Consider the following 27,229-nt stretch of genomic DNA (forward strand, 5'->3'; position numbering starts at 1 on the left):
TTTTATAGTCAGAAAACTGAAGTTGTACAAGATTAAGTAGAATACTCAAAGTCACACATTAAGAGTAGATTTACAATCCAGGTATATCTGCCCTAAAGCTCATGATCTTTCAACTATACTACTACCTAATGAAAAAAAGCAAATATGGCTTGTCTATACTATACCAGCATATAATAGGCCTGTATGTGTCTATAATAGACCTATGTATTATCAGCGCCCTGACTTAAGGACTAGATTTATAAAAGGAAAATAAAGAGGAAGTGTATGACCTCCAAACACTGTCTCTAAAGTTTTGTCTACATTGAACCTATTCCCTTTCCCAAAAGACTTCAGTAAAACTAAAGATTGAAGTTCAGGGTATTTAAGTCCAATAGAAACTTAAGAGAAGTGTTTTTTGTCTTCCCAATAATTGGCTAAAACTTTTTAACCGGAAAAAAATGAGACTGGCCCTCTAATTTTTTTCTTCAGAACTTTTTTTTTTTTTTTTGAGATGGAATCTTGCTCTGTTGCCCAGGCTGGTGTGCAGTGGCATGATCTCAGCTCACTGCAACCTCCATCTCCTAGGTTCAAGCAATTCTCCTGCCACAGCCTCCTGAGTAGCTGGGACTACAGGCGCGTGCCACCACACCCGGCTAATTTTTTGTATTTTTAGTAGAGACAGGGTTTCACCGTGTTAGCCAGGATGGTCTTGATCTTCTGACCTCGTGATCCACCCGCCTCAGCCTCCCAAAGTGCTGGGATTACAGGCATGAGCCACCACGCCCAGCCAGGTCTTAACTTTTATGAGCAAACCAAATTAGACACATTACATTTTTATGTTTCTAAACAAAGTGAGTTGCTAGGTATAAGCACCTTTACAATTAATAGTATGTATTAACTCTTCCACTCAAAATTCTTCTATTATGTATTCCCTATCTTGATGTAGTTTTCACCTACTGCTCTAAATTATCAGAATTATTAGAATTATTATATCTTTACCCCAGTCACTGCTTTCTTCCCACAGGCTGGGGACCCAATGAACCTGGATAATATAAAAAATGACTTTAGAGGCCAGGCACAGTGGCTCATGCCTGTGATCCCAGCACTCTGGGAGAGGCTGGCAGGGGAGGATCACTTGAGCCCAAGAGTTCAAGATCAGCCTGGGCAACAGTGAGAAGACTCCATCTCTATATAAAATATACGTATACATACACACACATACACACACACACACACGTAATTTTTTAAATAAATAACATGTCAAAAATGTTACTGTTACTCCTGGACTCTAAGATAAACCAGAACAAGCAAAGTTTATTTCTTGGTTTGCTTCAATTATCAAGCAACAACTAGTTATTAACTTTAACTCATAATCATTACAGGGTAAGAATACAGAATTCACTGGGATCAAACAGGTTTACTGATTCTCCTTCACCACACCCAATTTTGGTTCCCTACTCCACTACGAAATCATATTGAAGACTTCAAGGCTCCCAGTTCCTATCTACAGTGTTTGAAGACCATTAACTTGGATAGAATTAAACTTAAAAAAGGCTGACAATCACAATAGGACCCAAGGCCAGACTTTTGTTTAGTCCTAATGATAAAACATGTGTGAAAAACAGAGGAACAATATACACTTCTTAGGATGATGACAGCAGCCTCCAGACGACTTCAAGTGAAAGAGCCTTACAAATTTTCAGCCCCTTCTAAAAAACATATACAAATTTATGGCAAAACAGAAAACTCAGGCACAGGATACCCAAAGCTAATATTCACCTTTTGCTTCTGGGAAGCACGGTTCTTCTCATCAGAGATCTTCTCTGGATTATATCTTATGAGTGATGGAATGGACACCTGGACAGGCACTTGGGCCGCAGGAATTGAGCCTCGCAGAGACTCTTTCTGCTTAGGCTTATCAGGAGTCACAGTGGGGATCACACGAAGATTGGGACGGCTACGAGTAGCTTGTTTGGTTATTGGCATTATCCTGTGTGGTTCAGGTACAGGGTGGTTTGACGGTTGAGAGGTGGGATACATGGGCCATCTGGAGGCTGCATATGCCATGTAGTGCCTATAGGCATCAAAAGAGGCAGGGGGAATGGCAGGTCCCTGGTAGTTCGGAGGTATCCGAGCTGCAGCAAACTGAGAGGCCCTTGGCATGTGAAACTGAGATAAAGCAGCAGTGTGTGGAAGTCTAATTGGGGCAGATGGGGCTGATGGCAACATGCACCTGACTGCAACAGATGACTGAAACCCACTACCAACCACCTCTGGTCCTGAAATATGACCCACTGGATGGTCAGACTTTAGGAATGGAGGGCTGTTTTTTGTGAGCAGGTAAGGATCCACAGGAGAAGGTGGGTGTGGATGGGACACCTCTGGAGAGTGGGTATTGCTATGATGTGCCTCCCTGCTCTCTAGTCTGTGGGGATCTGAGGAACGTCGATCAGCTGAGAAGCAGTGGTCAACTGAGGAACAGCGGTCAGCTGAGAAGCGGTGGTCAACTGAGGAACAGTGGTCAGCTGAAAAGTATCGGTCAACTGAGGAACGGCGGTCAGCTGAGGAGCGTAATGATGGCTTCTTGCCATGAAGTCGTTCCTGGGTGCGTGCAGCCAATTGACTAATCTCTGCTACTCCAATATCCAGCCCTATTGTCTTGAGCAAGTCATGGATCTTCGCATATTCTGGATTGGTCTCTTCTAGTGATTCTAGCTTTACAGCTGGAGCTGAAGACGGCAGGGAGCTTGCCTTCTGCCTCATAACTTCACTCTCAGAGCTCCCAAGGGGCTTTGGTACGGATTCTGCCTTTAAATCCTCTTCTTCATCCCCATAGAGAAATTTCTCCTCATCTTCAATGTCGGGAAAGCTACGTCGCCTTTTTTCCTGTGTACTGGTAGAATCAGCCAACATGCTCAGAATGCGGGAAAAACCACTGCCATCCTGGCTAGCTCTCTCATGGGGCAGCAGGAAGTCTGTGTGTCGCTCAGGTCCCTCAGCCTTCAAATCCAAATTATCCTTGTGGCATAGAAAACTTCCAAATTTTTCTCTGAGAGGACTGTTGTCTTTGGGAATCCCAGGAAGGGGACCCCATTGGTAGAGGTTGCCCTGAGGTTCCTTCAAGGCAGTCTCTACCATAGTCCCCTTGTTTTCAATCTCTGAGGCAAAAGCAGCAATAGCACCACTTAGTGGAAGGGATGGGTGCCCAGAGTAGAGAGGGTGATCCTGGCTGGAGCTGGTACTGCTGGAAAAACTCTCAAGCTGCAAAGACAAACACAACTGATTTAGTCTTATGCAGAATCTCAGAACATTAGTAATTGAGATAAATACTTAAATACTTTGGTCTTCCTGAATTAACAGGTGAGATACAAGTATGGATAAAAGGGAGGAAAAGTATCCTTAGCCAGATTCAAAATGTGAATCCCCTTATCTCCAGATGTTTCTACTGTTGAGGAGAAACAGGAAGTGAGGCAAACTGGATGGAATCCTCACCTTTATCTATTTGTTAAAAGGAATTTGAATTCAAAAGAATTTTAGAGATCCCCTAGCTTGTTTTCTTTTCTATGGATCCCCAAAAGAAAAGGAAAAAAAAAGCTGCTTTGGCTGAAGTGGGGAGAGGAAACTCTGGAACGCTAACTCATCAGCATTCCTTTGCTTGGGAACCTCTTCAGAAGCCTTTATCTCCTAAGAGGACAGCTAAAAACTAGTGGTCTTTCCACTAGTGGTCTGACCATCCTTTCACAGGTCAGGGAAAAATATCAAGGCTCAGAATGGTGAGGTGACTTGTCTAAAAATCACAGTAAGTTGGTGGCAGAAGTGGGTCCAAAATCAGAATCATCTGATTTCTAGTCCAGTGTCCTACAACTCATACATCTTGTCTTCTCTCTAAAGAGAGATGAGAAAATTGAGATCACCTCCTCCCCTTGCCCTTCAAGGTTCATTTCCAACAAACCCATACTCAAAGATTGCCAAAGGATAATCCAATTTAAGTAAAAAAACTTACAGTACTCTCCAAAATATCTATTTATTAATATAAAGCCTAATATACAGCAATAGAACCCTCTACTGATGCATTAAAAGGCCTACAGTTTCGTTTGGAGAGTCCTAGAAGGTGTAGCTCACAATGTCGGTCCAGCACATATTACAAAGATACCATTAGGAACATAGCCCACAGGAAAGTAAGCAGGCTTTAAGATATTAGGGAGACTAGCAAGAGGCCCTACAAGAAATGCAGCAGAGACCTGCATGGAGGGCTCCATTATGTCCACCTCAATCCGCTTCTTCAAAATGGATTTCTTGGGCATCACAGATACTTCCTCAGGCCGATGCAAAGAATATCCTGGCTCCGATGCTGTTAGGACACCTGACAATCCAGGGATGGAACAGCCAGTACCACCACCATCAACTCCAACCAGCTCCTGACTCAAGCTCCTACTTCGCTCCTCCTCTTCCTCTCGCTTTCGTCTGGCAAGATCCAGTTCTCGAAACTCAGGGTCGAGAAACCTAGGACTTGGGCTTCTTCTACGCTGTCGATAGTTGCGAGTTCCTGATGTAAAACTTGGGTGATCCCCTCCCATGCTGTTTATCTTCACTGTGTCATCATAACGGGGTCTTTTGGCCTCCCGGCTCCTTTCTTCAGATCGTATGGAGTAGCCTTTGAGTTTTTCTCGATTCCGTTCTGTTCCCCGCAACAGCTCATCATGACAACTGATATGGGGACTATAATCAGATCGATGCAGGAAAGTTTCTTTTGTTCGGTAGTCCTCATCAAGTTGTCCCAAGAAGGGACTGAGAGGCCCTTCCTCCTGGGAAATATATCGCTCAAGACCCCGAGAGCACTGGGAGCTTCGAGTGAAGACAGAATCATCAGTCAGGTCATCCCTGAGGAAAAAGAGAAGCATCATTGAACAAATGGACTTGGAAAGAATAAGAGCAGACAAGGCTAAGAGACTGGTGTTTGTCAAGGGGGCTATAAAATGCTTAGGGCAAAAGACTATAATCATGAAGTCCAAGAACATTTCCTCTCCCTTTCCCCAGGGGAACAAGCAGCTTTAGCCTCTAACCAAGAGGTAATATTACCAACATATCTAGATAGATCTCTTGGGTAATTTCTCCGACTAGACTTAGGGCATGCAGAATATCATGGAAGTTACACAACTCCACACAAGCTAAATTCTAGCTCTTTGCTACTGAAAGTGTAGTGCGGACGAAACAGCATTAGCATTACCTGGGAACTTTTTAGAAATATAGCTTCTCAAAGCTCCACCCCAAGCAGATCTGAACTAGAATCTGCATTTTAACAAGATCTCCAGGTGATTTGTCTGTACTTTAAAGTTTGAGAAACACCAGTCCAGATCAATGGGATTTTTTTGTTTTGTTTTGAGATGGAGTCTCGCTCTGTCACCCAGGCTGGAATGCAGTGATGCAATCTCGGCTCACTGCAAGCTCCGCCTCTCAGGTTCACGCCATTCTCCTGCCTCAGTCTCCCGAGTAACTGGGCCTATAGGCACCAGCCATCACACCCGGCTAATTTTTTTTTTTTTTTTTTTCTGATTTTTTAGTAGAGACAGGGTTTCACCATGTTAGCCAGGATGGTCTTGATCTCCTGACCTAGTGATCAGCCCGCCTTGGCCTCCCAAAGTGCTGGGATTACAGGCATGAGCCACCGCGCCCAGCCTGTTTTGTTTAAGACAGAGTCTTGCTCTGTCACCCAGGCTGGAGTGCAGTGGCATGATCTCGGCTGACTGCAACCTCTACCTCCCTGGTTCAAGTGATTCTTGTGCCTCAACCTCCTTAAGTAGCTGGGATTACAGGTGTGCACCACCATGCTGGCTGACTTTTTGCATTTTTTTAGTAGAGATGGGGTTTCACATGTTGGCCAGGCTGGTCTCGAACTCCTGATCTCAGGTGATCTGCCCGCCTCAGCCTCCCAAACTGCTGGGATTACAGGCGTGAGCCTCCACACGTGGCTCAGATAAATGGTTTTAAAGCTGTGTTCCAGAGGTTGTAAAGAGTGCTCAGGAGCTACCAAAAGAAAGGAGGTACTAGAAAAGCAGAACCAGCAGGGCTCTTGACCTTCTATCCCAGTTAAATCACACTAATTCCAACTTTAAGTCTGTATATTAAGGTTCTAATAATTCAATTGGGAAAAAAAAGTATCACTATATGGTAACTTTTAAAAAAACTACTGATTTATCTAATTAGCATGATTTTCTCATAAGATTTAGAAGGTTCTCCAATGCTTTGCCTTGATGGTTCACATATTAAAACCCATAAAGCTCTCTCACAGCCTGTTTTGTCACCCTCTTTGCCTTCTCTGGATATCTACAAGCACTCTGCTAATCTTGGGCTTAGAAAAGAGAAAGTGATGGTTTGGTTCACCATATATTTTTATTTCATTAAATACAAAGGTCTCAGACCTTTGTGGCATGAGGTAAAAATCCAGGATGGGACAGCTATTCTTTTAGCTGAGAATTCTATACCACACCCAATAATGCTAACCTTCTCAGGGGCTATGGCTATGACACAAAACTAAAGTTTCTGATTTAAATCACAGATAGAAATAAAGATCCTCTAGCACTTTATGTATGAAAACTTCTAAGTACTCTGAATAAAAAATAAAAGTTCTTACATGTCACTCACATTCCAGAGTGAATTATCATCTAGAGGATGGTAACTATTAGTGTCTTCTACAGTTTCTAGTAGCTACTTTTGTTGTGAGTTTCTAGAAATGACTTTTCCTTAGTTTTTTTAGTAGTTGCTTTCCTATCTCTGAGACTATGCCAGCAGAATCTCAAAACATTGCCTTTTCTTATTCACCAGCCTGCCTTTGATCAAAGTTGTAGACCTAGGAATAAATTTATGAAAGGTTATCAAGGACAAACTTTATTTACCTTCTCTAACAAGAATGCCACCTGTGGGAATCCAGGTTTCTGTTACCCACCTTCTTCCTAAGAATTTGGGAAATTTTGAGGTTTCAATGCAGTATGAAATAGGAATAAATGGGAATAAACCAAGGATGATTTCTGAAATCAAACTGAGGTAAAAATTTTTCTCTATAGGTCTGTCAGCCATAAACACACCTATTTCCAGAGAGGAATGTTCATGAGTTGAGTCACTCCATTGCCAAAACACCATCTACCATACAAAAAGTCTCTGACCATATTAGTATAGGGAGAAAAAACATAGGCTCCATGAGGAGTGGCAAGTTCATTCACACTCCCACATTCAGCTCCCCACCAGAACTATTACATGTCACCATGAAACGGCATACTAGCCCAAGGTCTAAACCAGTACTAACTATCAAGAAGCTACAAATGAGATGGCTCTCAAAAAGCTGTAGTCCAGACTTGGAATCTCCAGTAGAGACAGAAAAAAGGCATAAAAACAGTTTTCTTAAAAAAGCTATCACATACATATAGGCAGAAATCAGGTTGCTTATTAGAAGCTCATGTCCTCCTTCCCCAGGACTCCAAAAGGATATGAGAAGAGAACTGGCTGTAGTAAGAACCCTAAAAAGGGTACAATCTCCTATACCCTGAAAGAGTCCAGCGATGGATACTCCCGGAAAGCCTTGGTTAAGTTCAACTGTTTTCTAAAATAAAGTCTATCTATTTAAAAAAACTGATTGTTGGAGTTAGGTAATAAGGACATGGGGTTTCACTGTACTATTCTACATTTTTGTGTTTACAAATCTCTGTTAAACAAGTTTTTAAAAAATGTATGTATGTCCATATAAAAACTTTTATACCAATGTTCAGAGCAGCATTAATCATAATTGCCAAAAAGTGAAAAGAATCAAAATGTTATCCATTCATTCACCACTGATGAATGGATAAACAAAACATGGTATATCCATACAATAAAATATTATCAGCAATAAAAAGGAATGCTACAAACACGGATGAACCTTAAAAAAAAATATGCTAAGTGAAAGAAGCCAGTCACAAAAGACCACATATTATATGATTCTATTTATATGAAATGTCCAGAACGGGCAAATCTATAGAGACAGAAAGTAGATTAGTGATTGCCTATGGCTGGGGGTAGGGTGGAGGGAGTAATGGCTAAAGGAACAGAGCTTCTTTCTGGTGTAATAAAAATGTTCTAAAATTGATTGTAGTGAGGGATGCACAACTCTGAATATGCGAAAAATCACTGAACTGTACACTTCAAATGGGTGAATTATATAGTATACAAATTACATCTCGATAAAGCTGTTAAAAATGTATACATATTTTAAAAGGTCCTTCAGAGCCTAAACTCTCCATTCTTTTCTGTTGATGAGTCCCAAAAATGCCCCAAGAAAGCTGTTTGCTTCTATTCCCTAAAGAAAATCAGAGGGAAAAAAATCCCACTCCTTCAATCTGTCAGAATAAGGAGAAGAAATTAGGCGATAAGCTGGGCACAATGGCTCACACCTGTAATCTTAGCACTTGGAGAGGCCAGGGCAGAAGGATTGCTTGGGGTCAGGAGACTAGCCTGGACAACACAGATAGATAGAAACCCAATTTCTAAAAATTTATTTTTTAATTCACCAGGTGTGGCAGTGCAGCCCATAGTCCTAGCTACTCTTTAGACTGAGCTGGGAGGACCACTTGAGCCCAGGAGTTTGAGGTTACAGTGAACTATGATCACGCCACTGCACTCCAGGCTGGGCAACAGAGCAAGACATTGTCTTTTAAAAAGTTAATAATTTTTTTTAAATAAATAGCTCCATGAATGGAACATTAAATGTGCAAATTACTTTGATGAACAGGAGAAATCAACCTAACATCCACAAGTCTTTAGAAGCCAAGTGTTTTAGAATTTTTCACATTACCTTTCATGTTCCCTTTTGAGTAGAATTACAGTCCTACATACAGGGCTGCTAAGGTGAAGACACTAAAACCCAACTTGGCTATCATCCAAACCTGATATAAAACTTAACAGATTCAATAAAGGAAGAGAAAGACTACTAGAGTCTCAGAAAAAAAATAAACAAACATCTGGCCAGGCATGGTGGCTCATGCCTGCAATCCCATCACTTTGGGAGGCTGAGGCAGGAGGGTCACTTGAGCTCAGGAGTTTGAAACCAGCCTAGGCAACACAGTGAGAACCCCATCTCTACAAAAATTTGAAAAATTAGCTGGGCGTCGGGTGGTGTGTGCCTGTATTCCTAGCTACTTGGGAGGCTGAGGCAGGAGAATCACTTGAACCCAGGAGTTAGAGGCTACACTAAGCTATGATCGTGCCACTGCACTCCAGCCTGGGTGACAAGAGTGAGACCCTGTCTCTTAAAAATAAATTTAAAAGGGGCCAGGCGCGGTGGCTCACACCTGTAATCCCAGCACTTTGGGAGGCCAAGGTGGACGGATCACGAGGTCAGTTCGAGACCAGCCTGGCCAAAGAAACCGCATCTCTACTAAAAATACAAAAAATTAGCCTGGCATGGTAGTCCGCACCTGTAATCCCAGCTACTCAGGAGGCTGAGGCAGGAGAATTGCTAGAACCTGGGAGGCGGAGGTTGCAGTGAGCCGAGATTGCAGCATTGCACTCCAGCCAGGCAACAGTGCAAGACTCTGTCTCAAAAAATAAATAAATAAAAATAAAAAAATAAATGAATTTTTAAAAAATAAACATCTACATACACGTCTTTTTTTTTTTTTTTTTTTTTTTGAGACAGAGTCTTGTTCTGTGCAGTGGCACAATCTGGGCTCACTGCAAACTCTGCCTCCCAGGTTCAAGCTTCTCCTGCCTCAGCCTCTGGAGTAGCTAAGACTACAGGCATGCGCCACCACTGGGTAATTTTTGTATTTTTGGTAGAGACAGGATCTCATCATGTTGGCCAGGATGGTCTCGAACTCCTGACCTCAAGTGATTGGCCCACCTCAGCCTCCCAAAGTGCTGGGATTACAGGTATGAGCCACTGCGCCAGGCCCAAACATCTACATACAAAGGATATAAATGGCCTGTATCATTGGTTGAAGACTAGACTCACTGTCAGGAGACAACCTGAGTATGCCAATGGTCCTGTGGCCTGGTTTTAGTGGACAGTAATTATCCACACAAACCATACTGAACAAAAGGGAAAGAAGAGAAATGTGTAGGGGGCAACAGTATTTTTTAAATGGCCTTGTATCTTTGTTTAGAACCTTAATCTCACTTTCTCTAAAGTAGACCTGTGCCTCTGAAACACATGATTCTACAAAGAAGACTGCTGCCCCAAACTCCTTAAGAGGAAAAATTTTAATTTTTGTAATTTAAAAATATAATTAGTTCTATCTGAAGCACATGTGCATAACAAAGTTTATGCAAAGGGGAAGTGACATCCTAGGCCTAAGAAGAACTGCTGAAGCTAACTCAAAACCTCAGCAAAGAATGAAGACAATCACACTATGTACCACCTACCCAGACTACCTACTCAATAATTTCCCCAAACAGAAGCAGCCAGAAGAGCAAGGGCTATTGCCTCAATTAAGTGATACAGTCACATATCTTGAAGCCCTTTAGAAGCTTCAATGTTATATGACATAAGACTATTTTGCCTTGCTTCTTCTCTGAGAAAACACCAAATGGCAGATGATGTCGGTGGAGGGGGTGGGGCGGGGGCAGAGGCCCCGGGGGCCCTGGGATGGGAAACCGTGGTGGCTTCCATGGAGGGGCTGGGGTTGCAGCTGTGGACAGGGCTGAGGCCACGGAGCTCGTGGAGGCAAGGCCAAGGATAAGGAGTGGATGCCTGTCACCAAGCTGGGCTGCTTGGTTAAGGACATAAAGATCAAGTCCCTGGAGAACTACCTCTTCTTCCTGCCCATCAAGGAATCTGAGATCACTGACTTTTTCCTGGGGGCCTCTCTCAAGGATGAGGTGTTGAAGATTATGCCAGTGCAGAAGCAGACCCACACTGGCCAGTTGAAAAGGTTCAAGGCGTTTGTTGCCATCGGGGACTACAATGGCCACGTCGGTCTGGGTGTTAAGTGCTCCAAGGAGGTGGCCACTGCCACCTGCGGGGCCATCATCCTGGCCAAGCTCTCCATTCTCCCTGTGCACAGAGGCTACTGGGGGAACAAGATCCACAAGCCCCACACCGTTCCTTGCAAGGTGACAGGCTACTGCGGCTCTGTGCTGGTGCACCTCATCCCTGCGCCCAAGGGCACTGGCATCGTCTCAGCCCGTGCCCAAGAAGCTGCTCATGATGGCTGGTATTGATGACTGCTACACCTCAGCCAGGGGCTGCACTGCCACCCTGGGCAACTTCGCCAAGGCCACCTTTGATGCCATCTCTAAGACCTACAGCTACCTGACCCCCGACCTCTGGAAGGAGACAGGATTCACCAAGTCTCCCTATCAGGAATTCACTGACCACCTCATCAAGACACACACCAGAGTCTCTGTGCAGAGGACGTAGGCTCCAGCTGTGGCTACAACATAGGGTTTTTATACAAGAAATATAAAGTGAATTAAGCCTGAAAAAAAAAAAAAAAAAAGACTGTTCTGCCTTGCTTCACTGCATCCACAGCCAATGGAACTTTTAGGTATTACCAACGGCAAAACTGGTCCTCAGACTTCCTGCCCAGCTCTCCCCCACCCGCCTAGCTATGCTCTGTGCAACACGGCAAGCGACAGTCTCAGTTTGAAATTACATTACATTGATTTATTGCTACTGCTAATCATTTGTCAAAACTCCCAATGTGCTGGGCAGAGACCATAACAGTCATGGTCTCAGCTCTGAGAAAGAGTGCTTTCCTGAACTCCCATCCATACTTTGACTTTTGTGAGGTGAAAAACACCTAATGTGATTATTTACAATCTATATATGGTTAAGTTCCTAGTACCTGAGGTCTATATCCAACTCTCTTGAGTGTATCTACCCTTCCTCAGCACTCAATAGTTGTAAAATAATAACTGAACTTAAACATTTTTGAAGGTCTCTAGCTTTCTATTAATACTTTATCTACTTCACATACACACATATATTAGACATGAACTTACCTAACCCTTTCTGAATCTGTTTCAGCCTGGATAAACTAAAAAATAACACCATTTTAAAAAGACTTCCCATTTTGTCCAGAACTTTTCTTTGGAGAAGGGACTGCTCATAGTTTCACTGTTTTAGAATCTATACCATCTCAACTGTTCTTCATTTGGGGGACTCTGATTATGTCCCCTCAGCCTCTTCTTTCTAGTCAGACTCAGATGACCTTTTTAAAGTCTTTTTTTCTATACAATTTATTCAACAACAGAGTCTACACATCATTATACTCCTCCCACTTAGAAATTCTATCCCAGCGTTTTATTTTGTACTGGACATGTGGCATAGGAAATAACTTTAGAGCTGGCACCATCCTTTCAAATATATCATTCGGAAAACAGCAACATTTCTGCCTTCAAGTACTAGTATAGTAGGCCCTGCCTTAGGTGATGCCTACCTGTCCATGTCTTCCAGATTATCCACTGGTGACCCCAGCCGATCACTAAGCCGTCGCCGTTCTGGTGTGCTAACACAGAAGTGGTCATTGCCAACAGTGATCCTTAAGCTCTTTTCCAAAGAGTCAGAACACAGACCAGGAGAGCGTCTCTACAAAAGTAAAGGATAATATGGTTAGTCAATAGGGTCAAGACATCCCTACATCCAAAAACTCTCCTCCCTAGTTACAAAGTTAGCCAGGCATGGTGGCTCATGCCTGTATACCCAACACTTTGGGAGGCTGAGGTGTATAGGCCCAGGCAAGAATGTGAGACCAGTCTGGGCAACACAGACTCCATCTCTATAAAAAAAAGTTTAAAATTAGCCAGGTGTGGTCCCAACTACTCAGGTGGCTGAGGTGGGAGGATAGCTTAAGCTTGGGAGGTCAGGGCTGCAGTGAGCCATGACTGCACCACAGCACTTCAGCCTGGGCAATGAGCAGGACCTTGTCTCAAAAACAAAAGACAACCCTGCAAAGTTGGGGTTCAACAAGGTGAGAAATGGTTATGGTAAGACACTATACCAAAAATAAAGCACTTTTTAAAAATTATCATTTTCTTAGAGATATAAGCCCATACCTCTAACTCTCCTAAACGGTGACCTCTCATTCTTACTGGGCATGGGAAAAGAGAAGTGAATAAAGTCCCTGCTCTCAGAACCCTACTTCTAGTGTACATACTTCTAGTGAAGGAGGTAAGCCAAAAACAAGTTTAAAGAAAAAAAAAATTCTTCTGGTAAGTGCTATAGTCATTAAAACATGGTACCATAAAAGGAGTTACTTCAGATAGGATGGTTAGAAAAGGTTTTTCTCAGGTGATAACCTGAGGCCTGAAGAATGAGGTGTCAGCTTTGCAAAGAACAGGTAGAAAGATGTTTCAGGCAAAGAAAAGAACCACCTCAGTATAGAGCTTGGTATACTTTAAGTAACAGAAAAGCGGCCGGTGTGGCTGCAGCAAAGTGACAGAAGAGGAAAAGATAGGCAGAAAGCACAGTTGGGAAATTTGGATTTTATTCTTAGTGCAATTAACAGTTATAGGAGGGTTTTACACAGGATAGTGACATCATCTGACTACATTTTTCCTCCAGATGCTTGCACAGCACACCCTCACCTCCTTCAGATCTTTATTCAAAAATCACCTTCCCAGGAGGCCTTCCCTGACTACTCTCAAAAATTTTAACTCCCCGGGCCAGGCATGGTAGCTTATGCCTGTAAGCCCAGCATTTTGGGAGGCTGAGGCAGGAGAATCACTTGAGGCCAGGAGTTTGAGACCAGCCTGGGCAACATAGTGAAATCCCTCCCCACACCAAAACATTTTTTTAAAATAAAATCAGCTGGGATGTTGGTACGCACCTGTAGTCCCAGCTACTCAGGATGCTGAGGTGAGAGGATCGCTTGAGCGTGGGAGTTTGAGACTGCAGTGAGCTATGATCACACCACTACACTCAAGCCCGGGTGACAGAGCAACACTATATTACATACACACACACGCACACAAACTGTAACTCCCTTCTCTGCTCTTAGTCCTTTTTTTTTTGTTTTGTTTGAGACTTGCTCTGTCGTCCCCAGCCTGGAGTGCAGTGGCACGATCTCGGCTCACTGCAAGCTCCGCCTCCCAGGTTCATGCCATTCTCCTGCCTCAGCCTCCCAAGTAGCTGGGACTACAGGTGCCCGCCACCAAGCCCGACTAATTATTGTATTTTTAGTAGAGACGGTGTTTCACCGTGTTAGCCAACATGGTCTCGATCTCCTGACCTCGTGATCCGCCTGCCTCGGCCTCCCAAAGTGCTGGGATTACAGGCGTGAGCCACCGCGCCCGGCCCTATTTTAGTACTTCTTAGTCCTTCTTAGTACTTAATTACATTTAACATACCATCGCATTTCTAACTTCAACTTATTATCCAACTCTCCCTGCTAGAATATTAACTCTATAAGGATAGGAGTTTTTTTCTGGTTTGTACTTTGTTGTATCCCCAGGGTAGTCCAGAACAGTCCTAATGCAAAGTAGATGCTCAATAAATACATGTCAAATGTATAAAATGAGGGCTTAAAAATCAATTTGATTTCTGTGTAACCTCCAGAACAAACTGGAGGGTAGCAAGGGCGGAGTGTAAAGGAGCCAAATGCAACAATCCATGCAAGAGGTAATAGGGCTTAGACCAGAGTGATGGCAGGAGGATGGCAGTTTTGGGGATGTATTCTAGAGGTAAAGCTAACGGGTTAGACAGATGAGGTAATCTGACAAATTAGATGTGGGAAGAAGGGAGATAATGGCTGTTTCTGATGTAAGCAACGGATGATGCTATTTACTCAGACAGAAAAGACTGGAGCAAATACATTGCGCACTGGAGAAGAAAAGGAGGTTGTGTAAACAAGCATTCTGTTCTTCCTTCCTCTGTAGTGACTGCCACCCACACTGGCACTGCTCAACTGGAAATCTTAACATAGTGACAAATCAATTTAACCATGACCAAAGTACTCACAGTACTTACATACATGTTAGAGAGCCACTCAAAAAAGCAGAACTTTGTTACTAAGTTTAAAAAAAGAGGCCGGGCATGATGGCAGGCGCCTATAATCCCAGCTACTTGGGAGGCTGAGGCGGGAGGATTGATTGAACCCCGGAGGCGGAGGTTACAGTGAGCTGAGATCATGCCATTGCACTCCAGCCTGGGGAACAGAGTGAGACTCTTTCTCAAATAATAATAATAATAAAAAGATTGATGAACTAAAAATAAAACAAATTCCCAAAAACCAGACTCTACCTAGAGGATCTCTTGGGGTGGTGGTTATGGTTAAAGGTCAACATTATTTCTAAAACTAAACTTAAACTCATGCTCCGTTCCTCTAGCAGTGAAACATAGAGGTTCAAATCATGGATTTGGGGAACCAGGCGGATCTGAGTTGAAGCACAGCTCCACCACTTAGCCGTGTCACCTCAGTCGAGTTACTTGAACCTCTCTGGGTTGGTTCCTCGGCTGTACAACAAGGAATAGTATTAACTGCCTCACTTCAAAGACTTGTGAGGGTTAAAATAATGTGCAAAGTGAAAGGCTAGGCATAATTCCTGACATAGAACTCGATAAGAGGTAGTGGCTATGGCAGTGACTGTGGTCCTGCACACTTCATTCCGAAGCAGCAGCTCCAATTCATTTAAGCTAACAGTTTACACTCTAGACGTAAAGCCTGGTAGGGTTCAAGCGTCCCTAACTCGCCACAAAAACGGACATTTCGGCTTTTTCCCCTAAGATCCAGGAAGGCAGCTCAGGTGTAAGGGGATGAAAAGTACGGAACCCCGAGGACACATCAACTCTACAAAAAGTACCAAGACACACGGTTTGGACGAAATGCCCCTCGCCTTGGCAAACTTTCCACACCTCACCCGGCATGAGAGAAACAGCCTATTCCTAAGGAACGGAGCGCGCACTCCCGACGAGACGCCCGTGCGCTCCCGAGTCCGTTATTGTGTCAACGCTCCCGGGTCTGACAGAAGCCTCCAGGCTCGGCATCCCCGAGGGAGTTGGCCGGAGGCTTCGCGCTTAGGACCCTGGTCTGGAGGCCCCGGGCGTTTCTGGAAACGGGAATTCCGGGGGAGGGGACTGGGGGATGGAGGGAGTCCTGGACGAGGGGTGGGATTACCCGGCTGCCGCTGTCGCCTGGATGGTCTCCGCGGCCGTCCCGGGCATAGTCGGCGCGGGACTCCCCCCGGCTGCTGCCTCTGAAGCCGGCCGGGCCCGGCGGGAAGAGTCGTCGGCCCCGCGGTGGCGACGGGGAGCCGCGACGGGCCCGAGGCGGGGACGGGGAGACGCGACGACCCCGTGGCGGGGACGGCGAGGCCCGGCGGCCGCGGTGCCCTGAGGGCGAGCGGGGTCGGCGAGCCGGGGTCCGCGACGAGGAGCCGGAGGGCGGAGGCGGCGGTGAGCTGCGGCGAGCCGGGCCTGAGGAGGAGCCAGAGCTGCGGCCGCTGCGCGGGCCGCCCCCGCCGTCGTCTTTAGGCCGGTGGGAAGAGACGGAGGAGCGAGCGCTGCTGCGGTACATGGTTCTTGCAGCGGCGGCCACGGCGACAGCTCTGACCCGGGGGCGCCCTAGACGCAGGCTCGGAGCGCGCCGCCGCAGCTGCAGCCGCCGCCACCTCGGCCGCTGCGCGCCGCCTCAGCCGCGGGAGCAGCCCCCTCCCCTCGGCCCCGCGTCGCCCCGGGGGCCCGGCCGAGCGCGCCCCCGCGGCTGGCGGTTGGAGGGCGCGAGCACGCGTCCGACACACCCCCCCCCGCCTCCGGGGTTCCCCGCTCCTCCACTCAGGGAGCGGCCGCAGGAACCAAGAAAAGTGGGGAGGAGCACAGACGCCGGCGCGAGGCTGGGCGAGGGGAGGGGAAGCGAAGCGCGCGCCCTGAGCTCTGCACGCCCCGCCTCCGAATCCTCAAGATGGCGGCCGCAGAGCCGCCCACTTCCCCCTCCCGCGGCCGCCACGTGACCCCTGTGGCCTCCGCGCGGGGTGGGCGGAGCGGAAGGAAGGGCTTCTCTGGAGAGGGATCTGGTTTTCCGGGGATGCTCCAGGCCTCTGGACTTAGGGGTTTGGAGACCGTGCGGAGGTGTCTTCGCTCTTTCGTGCCGCCCCTCAAGCCTCTTAATTTAGGGATGGACACGAAATGGTTGAAAACCATTCGTGATAATATAAACGGGCCTGTAAACGTTAGCTGTGTGGGAGGTTACGGACCCCGGCAGGAGCGCCCACCGAAATCCTGTCCCCAGCTGAAGCAACACGACCCGCATCAGTTTACTTTCCAGTTTGCCTAATTTCTAGAGGTTGAAATTGAGGATAGGAAAGTACGAGGTGGAGGTGGTGGGCCAGAATCAAACCCAAAATAGACGTTGTCAGGCCTCTGAGCCCAAGCTAAGCCATCATATCCCCTATGACCTGCACGTATACATCCAGATGGCCTGAGGCAACTGAAGAGCCACAAAAGAAGTGAAAATAGCCTTAACTGATGACATTCCACCATTGTGATTTGTTCCTGCCCCACCCTAACTGACAGGATATATTCTCCCCCTTGCCCTTAAGTAGGTGCTTTGTAATATTCTCCCCCGCCCTTAAGAATGTACTTTGTACACCTATCCCAAACCTATAAGAACTAATGATAATTCCACCACCCTCTGCTGACTCCTTTTTCGGACTCAACCCGCCTGCACCCAGGTAAGATAAACAGCCTTGTTGCTCACACGAAGCCTGTTTGGTGGACTCTCTTCACACGTTTTCGAGCTGTTTTCTGACTAAAGTACTTGTGGTCATGGTGGAGGTCCTTCATTACCAGGGGCCCACATCATGACCAACTGGAGGCGTGGCAAGTTTTTGTAAGAGATCCAGGCATGCCCCCTCCCCTGGCCTAAGTCCAGAATTTTCCTAGATGCCAATCTCAGGGCCCTGCATCCTAAATACAAAAGTGGGCCAGGCGCAAAGGGTCACGCCTATAATCCCACCATTTTGGGAGGCCGGGGCAGGAGGATTGCTTGAGCCTGAGAGTTCGAGACCAGCCTGGGCAACGTAGAAGGACCTCCATTTCTAAAAAAAAAAAAAAAAAATTTGCCGAGTGTGGTGGCACGTTCCTGTACCCCAGCTACTCGGGAGGTTGAGGCTGCGGTGAGCTGTGATCATGCCACTGCACTCCAGCCTGGGTGACAGAGTGAGACCCTCTCTCAAAAAATACATCCATATATATATATATCCATTTCCATACGTTCTTATAATGGCATATACTCAGTAAAAATGTATAAAATTTTTACTAGTTGACTACTTTTACCCAGCTTCACATTTTATATAATTTATATAAAATAAGAAACCAATAACATTTTAATGAAAAAAATAATAAAAATATGCCAGAGGTGTATGCCCTGTCTTTATTAGAGTATATATGGATTTTGGTTACCCATACTTTTGGTGGGACTTAATAAATGTGAAAAAAATGTAAATCAGTGTGTATAGATACTTGGAGTCAATAAATTTTAAATCATGTTTGTTATATTCTGTATCAACTTTTACTCCTCAACCCATTTCTAATACTGAATATTTTTATCAAAGGAGCTGGGGTGTTTCAAGACAGGGGGAGACACGGTGTATAATCAGAAAACTCTTCTGCTTCCCCTTCACACTTGCTCTATGCATAGTTCTGTATCCTGCATGAAATCTCTTGCAGATCCTTTCACTTTTCAAGTATTTTTCAGTCATGACAGTAGTCATATTGCAGTAGAAAATATATAGTACAGAACAAAACTTTAAACTTTATTCAGGCTAAAGGTTCTCCCCTACCCCTGCTTTTACCTGCTTCAGACTTGAAGCTTGCTATATTAAAAGTGGTATGGTAGGTTTCTCCACATCCCTGCCTTTGCTCCTCAAAGTTTGCTCCTCCTCTCCCACTGGCTAGCTGCTATTTCTGACCCCCTCCTCCCAGGAGGAGAAGGGATTGAAGGGAAAGAACACAGACTTTCCTGGTTAGTGCAGGATGCTGTTACCTTCCAAAATCGGTTCCCTATGGACAAGGAGGAATCACAAATGTTGGCTTTTCTCTCTTATGCACCTTTGTGGGCTTTTTTAGAACTCTCTTGCTGGCAGTGGTCCTCCTCTGGTTCACTGTCTATGACTCCCCTCCCCCAAGTCTTTGGCCTTCTGGAGGAGGTTTACCCCATGTAAAACTCACTCCCGTGGCAGGAGTCCCTTTCCTCTCTGGTTATCTCTCATGGGACGGATCCCTTTTATTTTGTTTTGTTTTTTTTTTTTTTTTTTTTTTTTTTTTTGAGACAGAGTCTCGCTCAGTCGCCCAGGCTGGAGTGCAGTGGCTCGATCTCCGCTCACTGCAAGCTTCGCTTCCTGGGCTCACGCCATTCTCCTGCCTCAGCCTCCCGAGTAGCTGGGACTATAGGCACCCGCCACCATGCCCAGCTAATTTTTTTGTATTTTTTTTAGTGGAGACGAGGTTTCACCGTGTAAGCCAGGATGGTCGCGATCTGCTGACCTCGTGATCCGCCCGCCTCGGCCTCCCAAAGTGCTGGGAAGGTGGCATGAGCCACCGCACGCGGCCTGGGAAGGATCTCTTTTAAATGACTCCAAGTTCGTTAGCTTGTGTGTCCACTTGGCTCACAGGATAACTCATGCATCTTTGCCCCAGTGGCGAAGGCAGTGCAGCTCACTCCCCATGGCTCCCACCTTATTCACCATCCCAGCACAGTTAGCCAGCATCTTGCTTTTGGACTTCCCCCAGGTAGGGGTTAAGACACTATCCCTGTGGATCTCCAAACTCCAGGAGACACAAGCCAAACATTCTAAGAGGTTCTAGTAGAAGGCTTTATCTCACTTGGCTCCCCTCTCCCGCCCCAGAGTGGCAGGAGAGGAAATACAGAGCCCACAGGTAACTGTCCGACACAATCTTCATTCTCTTATATAGACTGAGGGTGGATGATTAGTAATGCTGGCAGACTAGTTCATATTCTATCATCACCCTTTAAGATGGGGGAATGGGAGTACCTGGCATCTGTTGTATTGCCTTCTATTTTTGAGGCCTTTGCTGAAACTCCAGAGACAATAGGAAGAACCCAGTTAACGTACCGTCCCTGTTGTCTGTCATCAATTCAAGAAATTTTTATGAGACTTCTGATGAAGATGGTGAAATGTGTAAAGGCTTTCACACATACACACATACCACCCCATAGTAGACATACCGCAATGACATATAAAACCTTAAAAGAGAAAAGTAAGGAGACTAGGATGTATGCTATGGACTGAATTGTGTTTCCCCCACCACTACTCCAAATTCATTTGTTAAAGCCCTAACCCCCAATGTGATGCTATTTGGAGAAGAGTCCTTTGGGAGGTAATTAGGGTCAGATGAGGTCATGAGGGTAGGGCCCCCATGATGATAGTGTCTTTATAAAGAGAGGAAGAGACACCCATGCCCTCTCTCTGCTATGCAAGCACACAGTGAGAAGGCAGTGTCTACAAACCAGGAAGAGAGCACTCACCAGGAACTAAATTGGCTAGCACCTTGGTCTTGGACATTCCAGCCTCTAGAACTGTAAGAAATAAGCACGTGTTGTTGAAGCCACCCAGCCTTACGGTATTTTGTTACAGCAGCTCAAAACAGCTAATACACTCTGAAACGAGATAACCACCTCCCCATGGACCTCATGGGCTTTGAAATGAGTCTAGAATCAAGGGTAGCAGTTAGAGATTTGGCTCCTGTGAGATAATGGAAATGTAAGTGCTCCTCAGGAGGTGGAGGACCTGGGACAGATTTTTAGCTTAAAGCCAAGGACATGCCTGTCCCTACATGCGAGCTGAACAAATTACTGCCAGCCTTCTGCTTGGGGCTAAGTTTCATGGGAATGTGCCATGTGGGTGGGAAGATAAAAATATTGACAGCCTTTAAACAAGAACTGAGCCTAGACACTCCCTGCTCAGTGACTGGAATGGTAATATCCTAATATTACCAATATTACCTATACACCAGTAATAACTAATTAGAAAATACGATTCTGAGGCCAGCTGTGGTGGCTCATGCCTGTTAATGCCAGCACTCTGGGAGGCTGAGGCAGGCAGATCACCTGAGGTCGGGAGTTCGAGACCAGCCTGGTCAACATGGCGAAACCCCATCTCTACTAAAAATAAAAAAATTAGCCAGGCATGGTGGCGGGTGCCTGTAATCCCAGCTACTCAGGAGGCTAAGGCAGGAGAATAGCTTGAACCCGGGAGGCAGAGTTTTCAGTGAGCCGAGATCACACCACTACACTCCAGCCTGGGTGACAAAGGAGACTCTATCTCAAAAAAAAAAGGAAAGAAAGAAAATATGAGTCTGGCCAGGCGCAGTGGTTCACACCTGTAATCCCAACACTGTGGGAGGCCGAGGCAGGCGGATCACTTGAGGTCAGGAGTTCAAGACTAGCCTGGCCAACATAGTGAAACTCTGTCTCTACTAAAAATACAAAAATTAGCTGGGCATGGTAGTCTGGCTACCTTAGCACGCTTGTAGTCCCAGCTACTCAGGAGGCTGAGGCAGGAGAATCGCTTGAATCTGGGAGGCGGAGGTTGCAGTGAGTCGAGATCTTGCCACTGCATTCCAGCCTGGGTGACACAGTGAGACTCCACCTCAAAAAAAGAAAAGAAAATATGATTTTTCTGCTGGACACAGTGGCAGGTACCTATAATCCCAGCTACTCAGGAGACTAAGGCAGGAGTTTTCACCTGAGCCCAGGAGCCCGAGGTTAGCCTGGACAACAAAGCAAGACCCTGTCTCTGGAAAAGGAAGAAGAGAGAAAATATGATTTTCTGTTAAACATGGTGGATTCAATCATGCATGTATCACTATTACATCCATAACCTCTGTCTCAAAAAACAAAAAAAAAAAAGCTCTGGCCAGGCGCAGTGGCTCACGTCTGTAATCCCAGCACTATGAGAGGCTGAGACAGGTGGATCACTTGAGGTCAGGAGTTCGAGACCAGCCTGACCAACATGGTGAAACCCCATCTCTACTAAAAAATACCAAAAAATTGGCCAGGGGTGGTGGTGGGTGCCTGTAATCCCAGCTACTTAGGAGGCTAAGGCAGGAGAATCACTTGAACCCGGGAGGTGGAGATTGCAGTGAGCCGAGATCGTGCCACTGCACTCCAGCCTCAGTGACAGAACAAGATTCCATCTCAAAAAAAAAAAAAAAAAAAAGTGCTCAAAAGAGGATATTCAAATGATTACTAAATATATGAAACCTCAATCGTGAAAATGTAAATTAAAACCATAACAAAATAGCACTTCACACCAACATAGTTAACATTGCAGATATTGGTGAGGGTGTAGAACAAGGGACATTCTTCTACACTGTGTAAATCAGTGCCACCACTCTGGAAAACAGGTTGGCATTTCTACTAAAGTTGAAAATGACTACACAATTTTGTTCCTAAGTATATATCCTACAGAAATGCATACAAGGTATACCAGCAGTTACGTACAAGAACGTTCACAGCAGCTTTCTCTGTAATTGCCAAATACTAAAAAAAGTCCACATATTCTACAACAGTAAAATGAATAAATTTGGGGATGTTTATACAATGGCATACTATTCAGCATTGAAAATTAACAGACTGCTTCACTCAACAACATAAATGAATCTGAAAAACATAATGTTGAGTTAAAGAAAATAGATGCAAAACAATACATTGCATAATTCCATTTATATAGCTTTTTTGTTTTGTTTTGGTTTTGTTTTGAGACAGGGTCTCTCTCTGTCACCCAGTCTAGAGTGATGTGTCCCAATCATGGTTCACTGCAGTCCCAAACTCTTTGACTCAAGGGATCCTCCTGCCTCAACCTCCAAGTAGGTAGGACTACAGGCATGTGTTATCGTACTCGGATAATTTTTTTTCTTTTTTCTTTTTTTTTTTCAAGACAGGGTTAACTATGTTGCCTAGACTGGTGTTGAACTCCTGGCCTCAAGCAGTCCTCCTGCCTCAGCCTCCCAAAGTGCTGGGATTACCACCATACCCGGCTAAATTGTCAAAACTAAACTACAGTGGATAGGAGTGCATTCTTAGTGGTAAACCACTATAAAGAAAATGAAGCTAAAAACCATAAAAATCAGCATGGTGGTCACCCTGAGGATGGAAGAGAGGGCATTGTAATTAGACAGAACAATGGGAGGAGCTTCTGGGGTATTGAGCTCGTTCCATATATTAATCTGGGTGGTTGTTTTTCCACAGATACTAGCTTTTTAATAATTCAGTTAGCTGTACATTTATTTATTTATTTATTTATTTATTTATTTATTTATTTAGAGATGGAGTCTTGCTCTGTAGCTCAGGCTGGAGTGCAATGGTACGATCTCGGCTCACTGCAGCCTCTGCCTCCTGGGTTCAAGTGCTTCTCCTGCCTCACCCTCCTGAGTAGCTGGGATTACAGGCATGTGCCACCACACCTGGCTAATTTTTGTAGTTTTAGTAGAGACAGGGTTTCACCATGTTGGCCAGGCTGGTCTTGAACTCCTGACCTCAGGTCATCCGCCCACCTCGGCCTCCCAAAGTGCTAGGATTGCAGGCGTGAGCCACCACACCCATTCTGTACATTTATTTTTATATACTTTTATGTATACATGTAATTTTTCACAATTAAAAGAGCTAGAGACAGAAGACAAACCTGTATCCTAAGAAATGTGAAGCTTGAATAGCACTATCTGTGTGCTAACAAGCAATTTGTTTCTCAGATATGCTAGTCAGCCACCAAAATGGCCCCTAATGATCCCTGTCTCTTGGTATTCACTCCCTGGTATGGGCTCCTCCCATATTGTACAAAGGTTGGTCTGTGTGACCAATAGAATATGACAGAGGTGATATGTATCATGTCCAAGATTAGGTTATTAAAGCCATTGTGGCTTCCATTTTGAGCACACTTTCTCTCTCTGGGATCATATGATTTTGGGGGAAAACACCTGCCATGTTGAGCAACCCTATGGAAAACCCCATGTAGTGAGAAACTGAGGTCTCCTGACAACAGAAGCAAGGAATTGAGGCCTCCAGGCAACAGCCATGTGGGTGAGTCATCTCACAAGCAGATACTCAAGTATATCAAGCCTTCAGATGACTGCGGCCCAAGCCAATATCTTGAGTGCATCTTCTTGAGAGACCCTGAGCCAGGACCATCTAGCAAATCACTTCCATAGTCCTCATCCTCAGAAACTGTGAGATAAAAGTGCTTGTTTTAGGCTGCCAACCTGGGAGTAATTTGCTATGCAGATAGCTAATACACAACCCTAGAGAATAAAAATTGCTTTTGGTATAGCCCCTACCTTTATTCTATGAGGCACTAATAACCCTTTTTAACCTTGAATTTGGAGAAACCCTGAATGCAGGCAGTTAATTCATATGTGGATGTTTCACATCCAAATGCTTTTTGTCTGGTCCCCCAGATCACCATGGTTTCTATTTTATAACTAGTACATACTATATACTAATATATAGTATTATATTACTATAATAATATGGTATTATAATCATAATACCGTAATCACACAAAACACGAATGTACATCTTACCAGCTTATTAAAAAACAAATAAATACTGGCCAGGCACAATGGCTCATGCCTTTAATCCCAACACTTTGGGAGGCCGAAGTAGGGGGATCGCTTCAGCTCAGGAGTTCGAGACCAGCCTGGGCAATATAACAAAACTCCATCTGTACTAAACAACAACAACAACAAAATAGCCAGGTGTGGTGGTGCATGCCTGTAGTCATAGCTACTTGGGAGGCTGAGGCAGGAGGATCACTTGAGCCCAGGAGTTCAAGGCTGCAGCAAGCTATGATAGCACCACTACACTACAGCCTGGGCAAGAGTGAGACCCTGTCTCAAAAAAAAAAATAACAAAATAAAAATAAATAAAATGAAATAAAAATAAATCTAACAGCAATATTATGGAAATGTTCAAGGTTTTGAAGGAAAGGTCCTGGGTGATCTGAGACATGTATTAAGATCTGCCATGGTCAGAGAGATTAGGCAGGACTTCCCTGAGAAGCGGTATTTGAGCTGAGATCTGAAAATAAGTAGGAGGTAGTAGAGCATAAAGCCTGGTAGGCAGAGGGACACCTAATCTAGTACTTCCTAACAGTTACCCTTTTCACTGTCCTTGTCCTCTGTTTACACCAGCCACTTACCCAGTCCCCACCTGTTCTCATCCCAGGGTAGACAGGAATCACTTCTTGACATACCTGTAAACATTACTGGTGTAAGGTTTAGAAAGCTGAGCTGTACACAAAGCCCTGTGGCAGGAGAAACCCTGGTGATCTGATTGACCAGACAGAAGGCCAGTGTGACCAGAGGGCAGAAAGAAAGGAGAATAGTGAGAAATGAAGCTGAAGAGGTATGCAGAGGTTGACCACGTCCAGCATATTAAACATTATAAACATTAATCTGCGTGCATGCCTGTGTGCACACTATACTTGACCAAACTGTTTAGCCCTGTTGGAATTTTTTTTGTTTTAATAGGTTGTAGCTCACTGCAGCCTTGAACTCCTGGACTCAAGCAATCCTCCCACCTCAGCTTCCTGAGTAGCTGGGACTACAGGCATGCATCACCACACCCAGCTAATTTTTTTATTTTTTGTAGAGACAGAGTTTTGCCTTGTGGTCCAGGCTGGTTATTTTTAAATTTTTATTTATCTATTTTTGAGACAGGATCTCACTCTGTTGCCCAGGCTGGAGTGCAGTAGTGCGATCTCAGCTCACTGCAGCCTCTACCTCCTGGGTTCAAGCAATCCTCCCACCCTCAGACTCCCAAGTAGCTGGGACTACAGGCATATGCCACCATGCCTGGCTAATTTAAAATTTTTTTTGTACAGACAGGGTATCCCTATATTGCCCAGGCTGGTGTCAAACTCCTGGGCTCCAGCTATCTGCCTGCTTCAGCTTCACAAAGTGCTAGGATTGCAGGTGTGGGCCACCGAGCCTGGCCCAGGCTGGTTATCCTTTAAGTCCAAGATTAATGAGGTGTAACTGGCTCAGATGATGTGATTGCTGGTACCTATCCAAACAAACTCCAGCTTCATGTAGGAAACATTTGGCCAGAAGAGGGACAGTGAGCCCTCCAGAAAGACAGATGTGATGCTCAACTCACTCAAGAGTTCTCGTCTAGAATTGTGGTCCATTGTTTGTAGATAATGGGCAAAGTGGGTCACGCCTATAATTCCAGCACTTTGGGAGGCCAAGATGTGAGGATCACTTGAGTCCAGGAGTTTGAGACCAGTCTGGGCAACATAGCAAGACTCCATCTCTACAAAAAATGCAAAAATTAGCCAGGTGTGGTGGCTTGTATGTGTGTAAATCAAATTAATTACTTTGGGGAGGTTCTAAAATTATGAGTGATTAGTTTCTCTTGCTTTGAAATAAACTTAGGCCTAGAGTATAACTTTACTTAGAATTAAGGTGTTTGGGCCAGGTGTGGTAACTCACACCTATAATCCTAGGGCTATGAGAGGCCAAGGCAAAAGGATTGCTAGAGGCCAGAGGCCTGGGCAACATAGTGAAACCCTGTGTCTACAAAAGTAAAAATAAAAAAAATTAGCCAGTCATAGTTGCTCAGTCCTGCAGTCCCAGCTACTGGGGAGGATTGCTTGAGCCCAGGAATTTGAGGCTGCAGTTAGCTATGATTGTGCCACTGCACTTCAGCTTGGCCAACAGAGCAAAACTCTGTCTCTAAAAAATAAAAATAAATAAATAAAGGAATGGGAGAAAAGATGAGAAGAGAATGTAAATGGGATGATGACAACATTTTGGAAGCCAGAAAACAGATGGTGTTAGGTAACTAACAACAAAGCAGAAAAAGCTGAAACTTAGGCATGCAGGTGGGTAACCCAGAAGGAACCAAAATGGTTCATACACAGAACTCTGACCCTCTTAGACACCCCAGAGACTTTTGAAGGTGGGTTTGGGTGTGGTGCTGAAATGTAGAATTGGGTTGAAAGTTGGTACGAGGAGCAGTTGGATTCTTCAGTCTCTTCATCTAGCCCATGAAGCAGATGACTGCCCCTTCCCTCCCTTGGTGGAAGAACAGATTTCATGTTTAGTACTATATCAGTACTATCACTCGCCAAAAGAAAAAAAGGCACTGAAATGTATCTGAATTGTTTAAAACCCTAATAATTGTAGCTGTCAGGCACTCTGTTAGGTTCTAGTCCATAAAGATGAATAAAACATGGTCCTTATCTTTGAGAAACTCACAGGTTTTTTTAAACGTAGCTTTCAAGATACCAATAAAAACAAAAGCATATCATGAGGCATTGCATCCCT

At 45.0% G+C, this 27,229-nt stretch overlaps 2 protein-coding genes and 1 pseudogene across 2 annotated transcripts in view, besides 5 other annotated features; 2 read left to right on the forward strand and 1 right to left on the reverse strand.

The window, feature by feature from the left end:
* ZNF318 (zinc finger protein 318) overlaps positions 1-16,742 on the reverse strand; it is a 33,578-nt gene extending 16,836 nt beyond the window's left edge. The window contains exons 1-4 of the mRNA NM_014345.3: positions 16,062-16,742; positions 12,387-12,535; positions 4,221-4,860; positions 1,759-3,240 (exon numbers count right to left, since the gene is read on the reverse strand). Of these exons, the coding sequence (NP_055160.2) occupies positions 1,759-3,240; positions 4,221-4,860; positions 12,387-12,535; positions 16,062-16,460 (2,670 nt within the window). The 5' untranslated portion in view covers positions 16,461-16,742. The remainder of the gene's footprint in view (positions 1-1,758; positions 3,241-4,220; positions 4,861-12,386; positions 12,536-16,061) is intronic.
* On the forward strand, positions 10,510-11,314 carry RPS2P28 (ribosomal protein S2 pseudogene 28; annotated as a pseudogene).
* Positions 16,146-16,215: a silencer, noted in NCBI's record as "silent region_17225". NCBI's record gives its function as "represses an Ori minimal core promoter by ATAC-STARR-seq in GM12878 lymphoblastoid cells {active_cell/tissue: GM12878}" and the evidence as "EXISTENCE:reporter gene assay evidence [ECO:0000049][PMID:35858748]".
* Positions 16,226-16,415: a silencer, noted in NCBI's record as "silent region_17226". NCBI's record gives its function as "represses an Ori minimal core promoter by ATAC-STARR-seq in GM12878 lymphoblastoid cells {active_cell/tissue: GM12878}" and the evidence as "EXISTENCE:reporter gene assay evidence [ECO:0000049][PMID:35858748]".
* Positions 16,459-18,436, forward strand: LOC124901227 (atherin-like). Its single transcript, XM_047419609.1, has 2 exons — positions 16,459-16,482; positions 16,518-18,436. Exons 1-2 carry the CDS (start codon positions 16,459-16,461, stop codon positions 17,214-17,216), a joined length of 723 nt encoding a protein of 240 aa, XP_047275565.1. The 3' UTR covers positions 17,217-18,436.
* Positions 16,506-16,705: a silencer, noted in NCBI's record as "silent region_17227". NCBI's record gives its function as "represses an Ori minimal core promoter by ATAC-STARR-seq in GM12878 lymphoblastoid cells {active_cell/tissue: GM12878}" and the evidence as "EXISTENCE:reporter gene assay evidence [ECO:0000049][PMID:35858748]".
* Positions 16,896-16,995: a silencer, noted in NCBI's record as "silent region_17228". NCBI's record gives its function as "represses an Ori minimal core promoter by ATAC-STARR-seq in GM12878 lymphoblastoid cells {active_cell/tissue: GM12878}" and the evidence as "EXISTENCE:reporter gene assay evidence [ECO:0000049][PMID:35858748]".
* Positions 23,776-23,995: an enhancer, noted in NCBI's record as "active region_24598". NCBI's record gives its function as "activates an Ori minimal core promoter by ATAC-STARR-seq in GM12878 lymphoblastoid cells {active_cell/tissue: GM12878}" and the evidence as "EXISTENCE:reporter gene assay evidence [ECO:0000049][PMID:35858748]".

The sequence above is a fragment of the Homo sapiens genome, chromosome 6 (genome assembly GCF_000001405.40).
Source record: "Homo sapiens chromosome 6, GRCh38.p14 Primary Assembly".
Taxonomy (NCBI): domain Eukaryota; kingdom Metazoa; phylum Chordata; class Mammalia; order Primates; family Hominidae; genus Homo; species Homo sapiens.

Excerpts from the sequence above, each read along its gene's own strand:
- LOC124901227 (XM_047419609.1), top strand. The coding sequence starts at position 16,459 with ATGGTTCTTGCAGCGGCGGCCACG. Across the intron at positions 16,483-16,517 it reads TTCTTGCAGCGGCGGCCACG|GCTCGGAGCGCGCCGCCGCA; the intron begins GCGACAGCTCTG and ends CCCTAGACGCAG.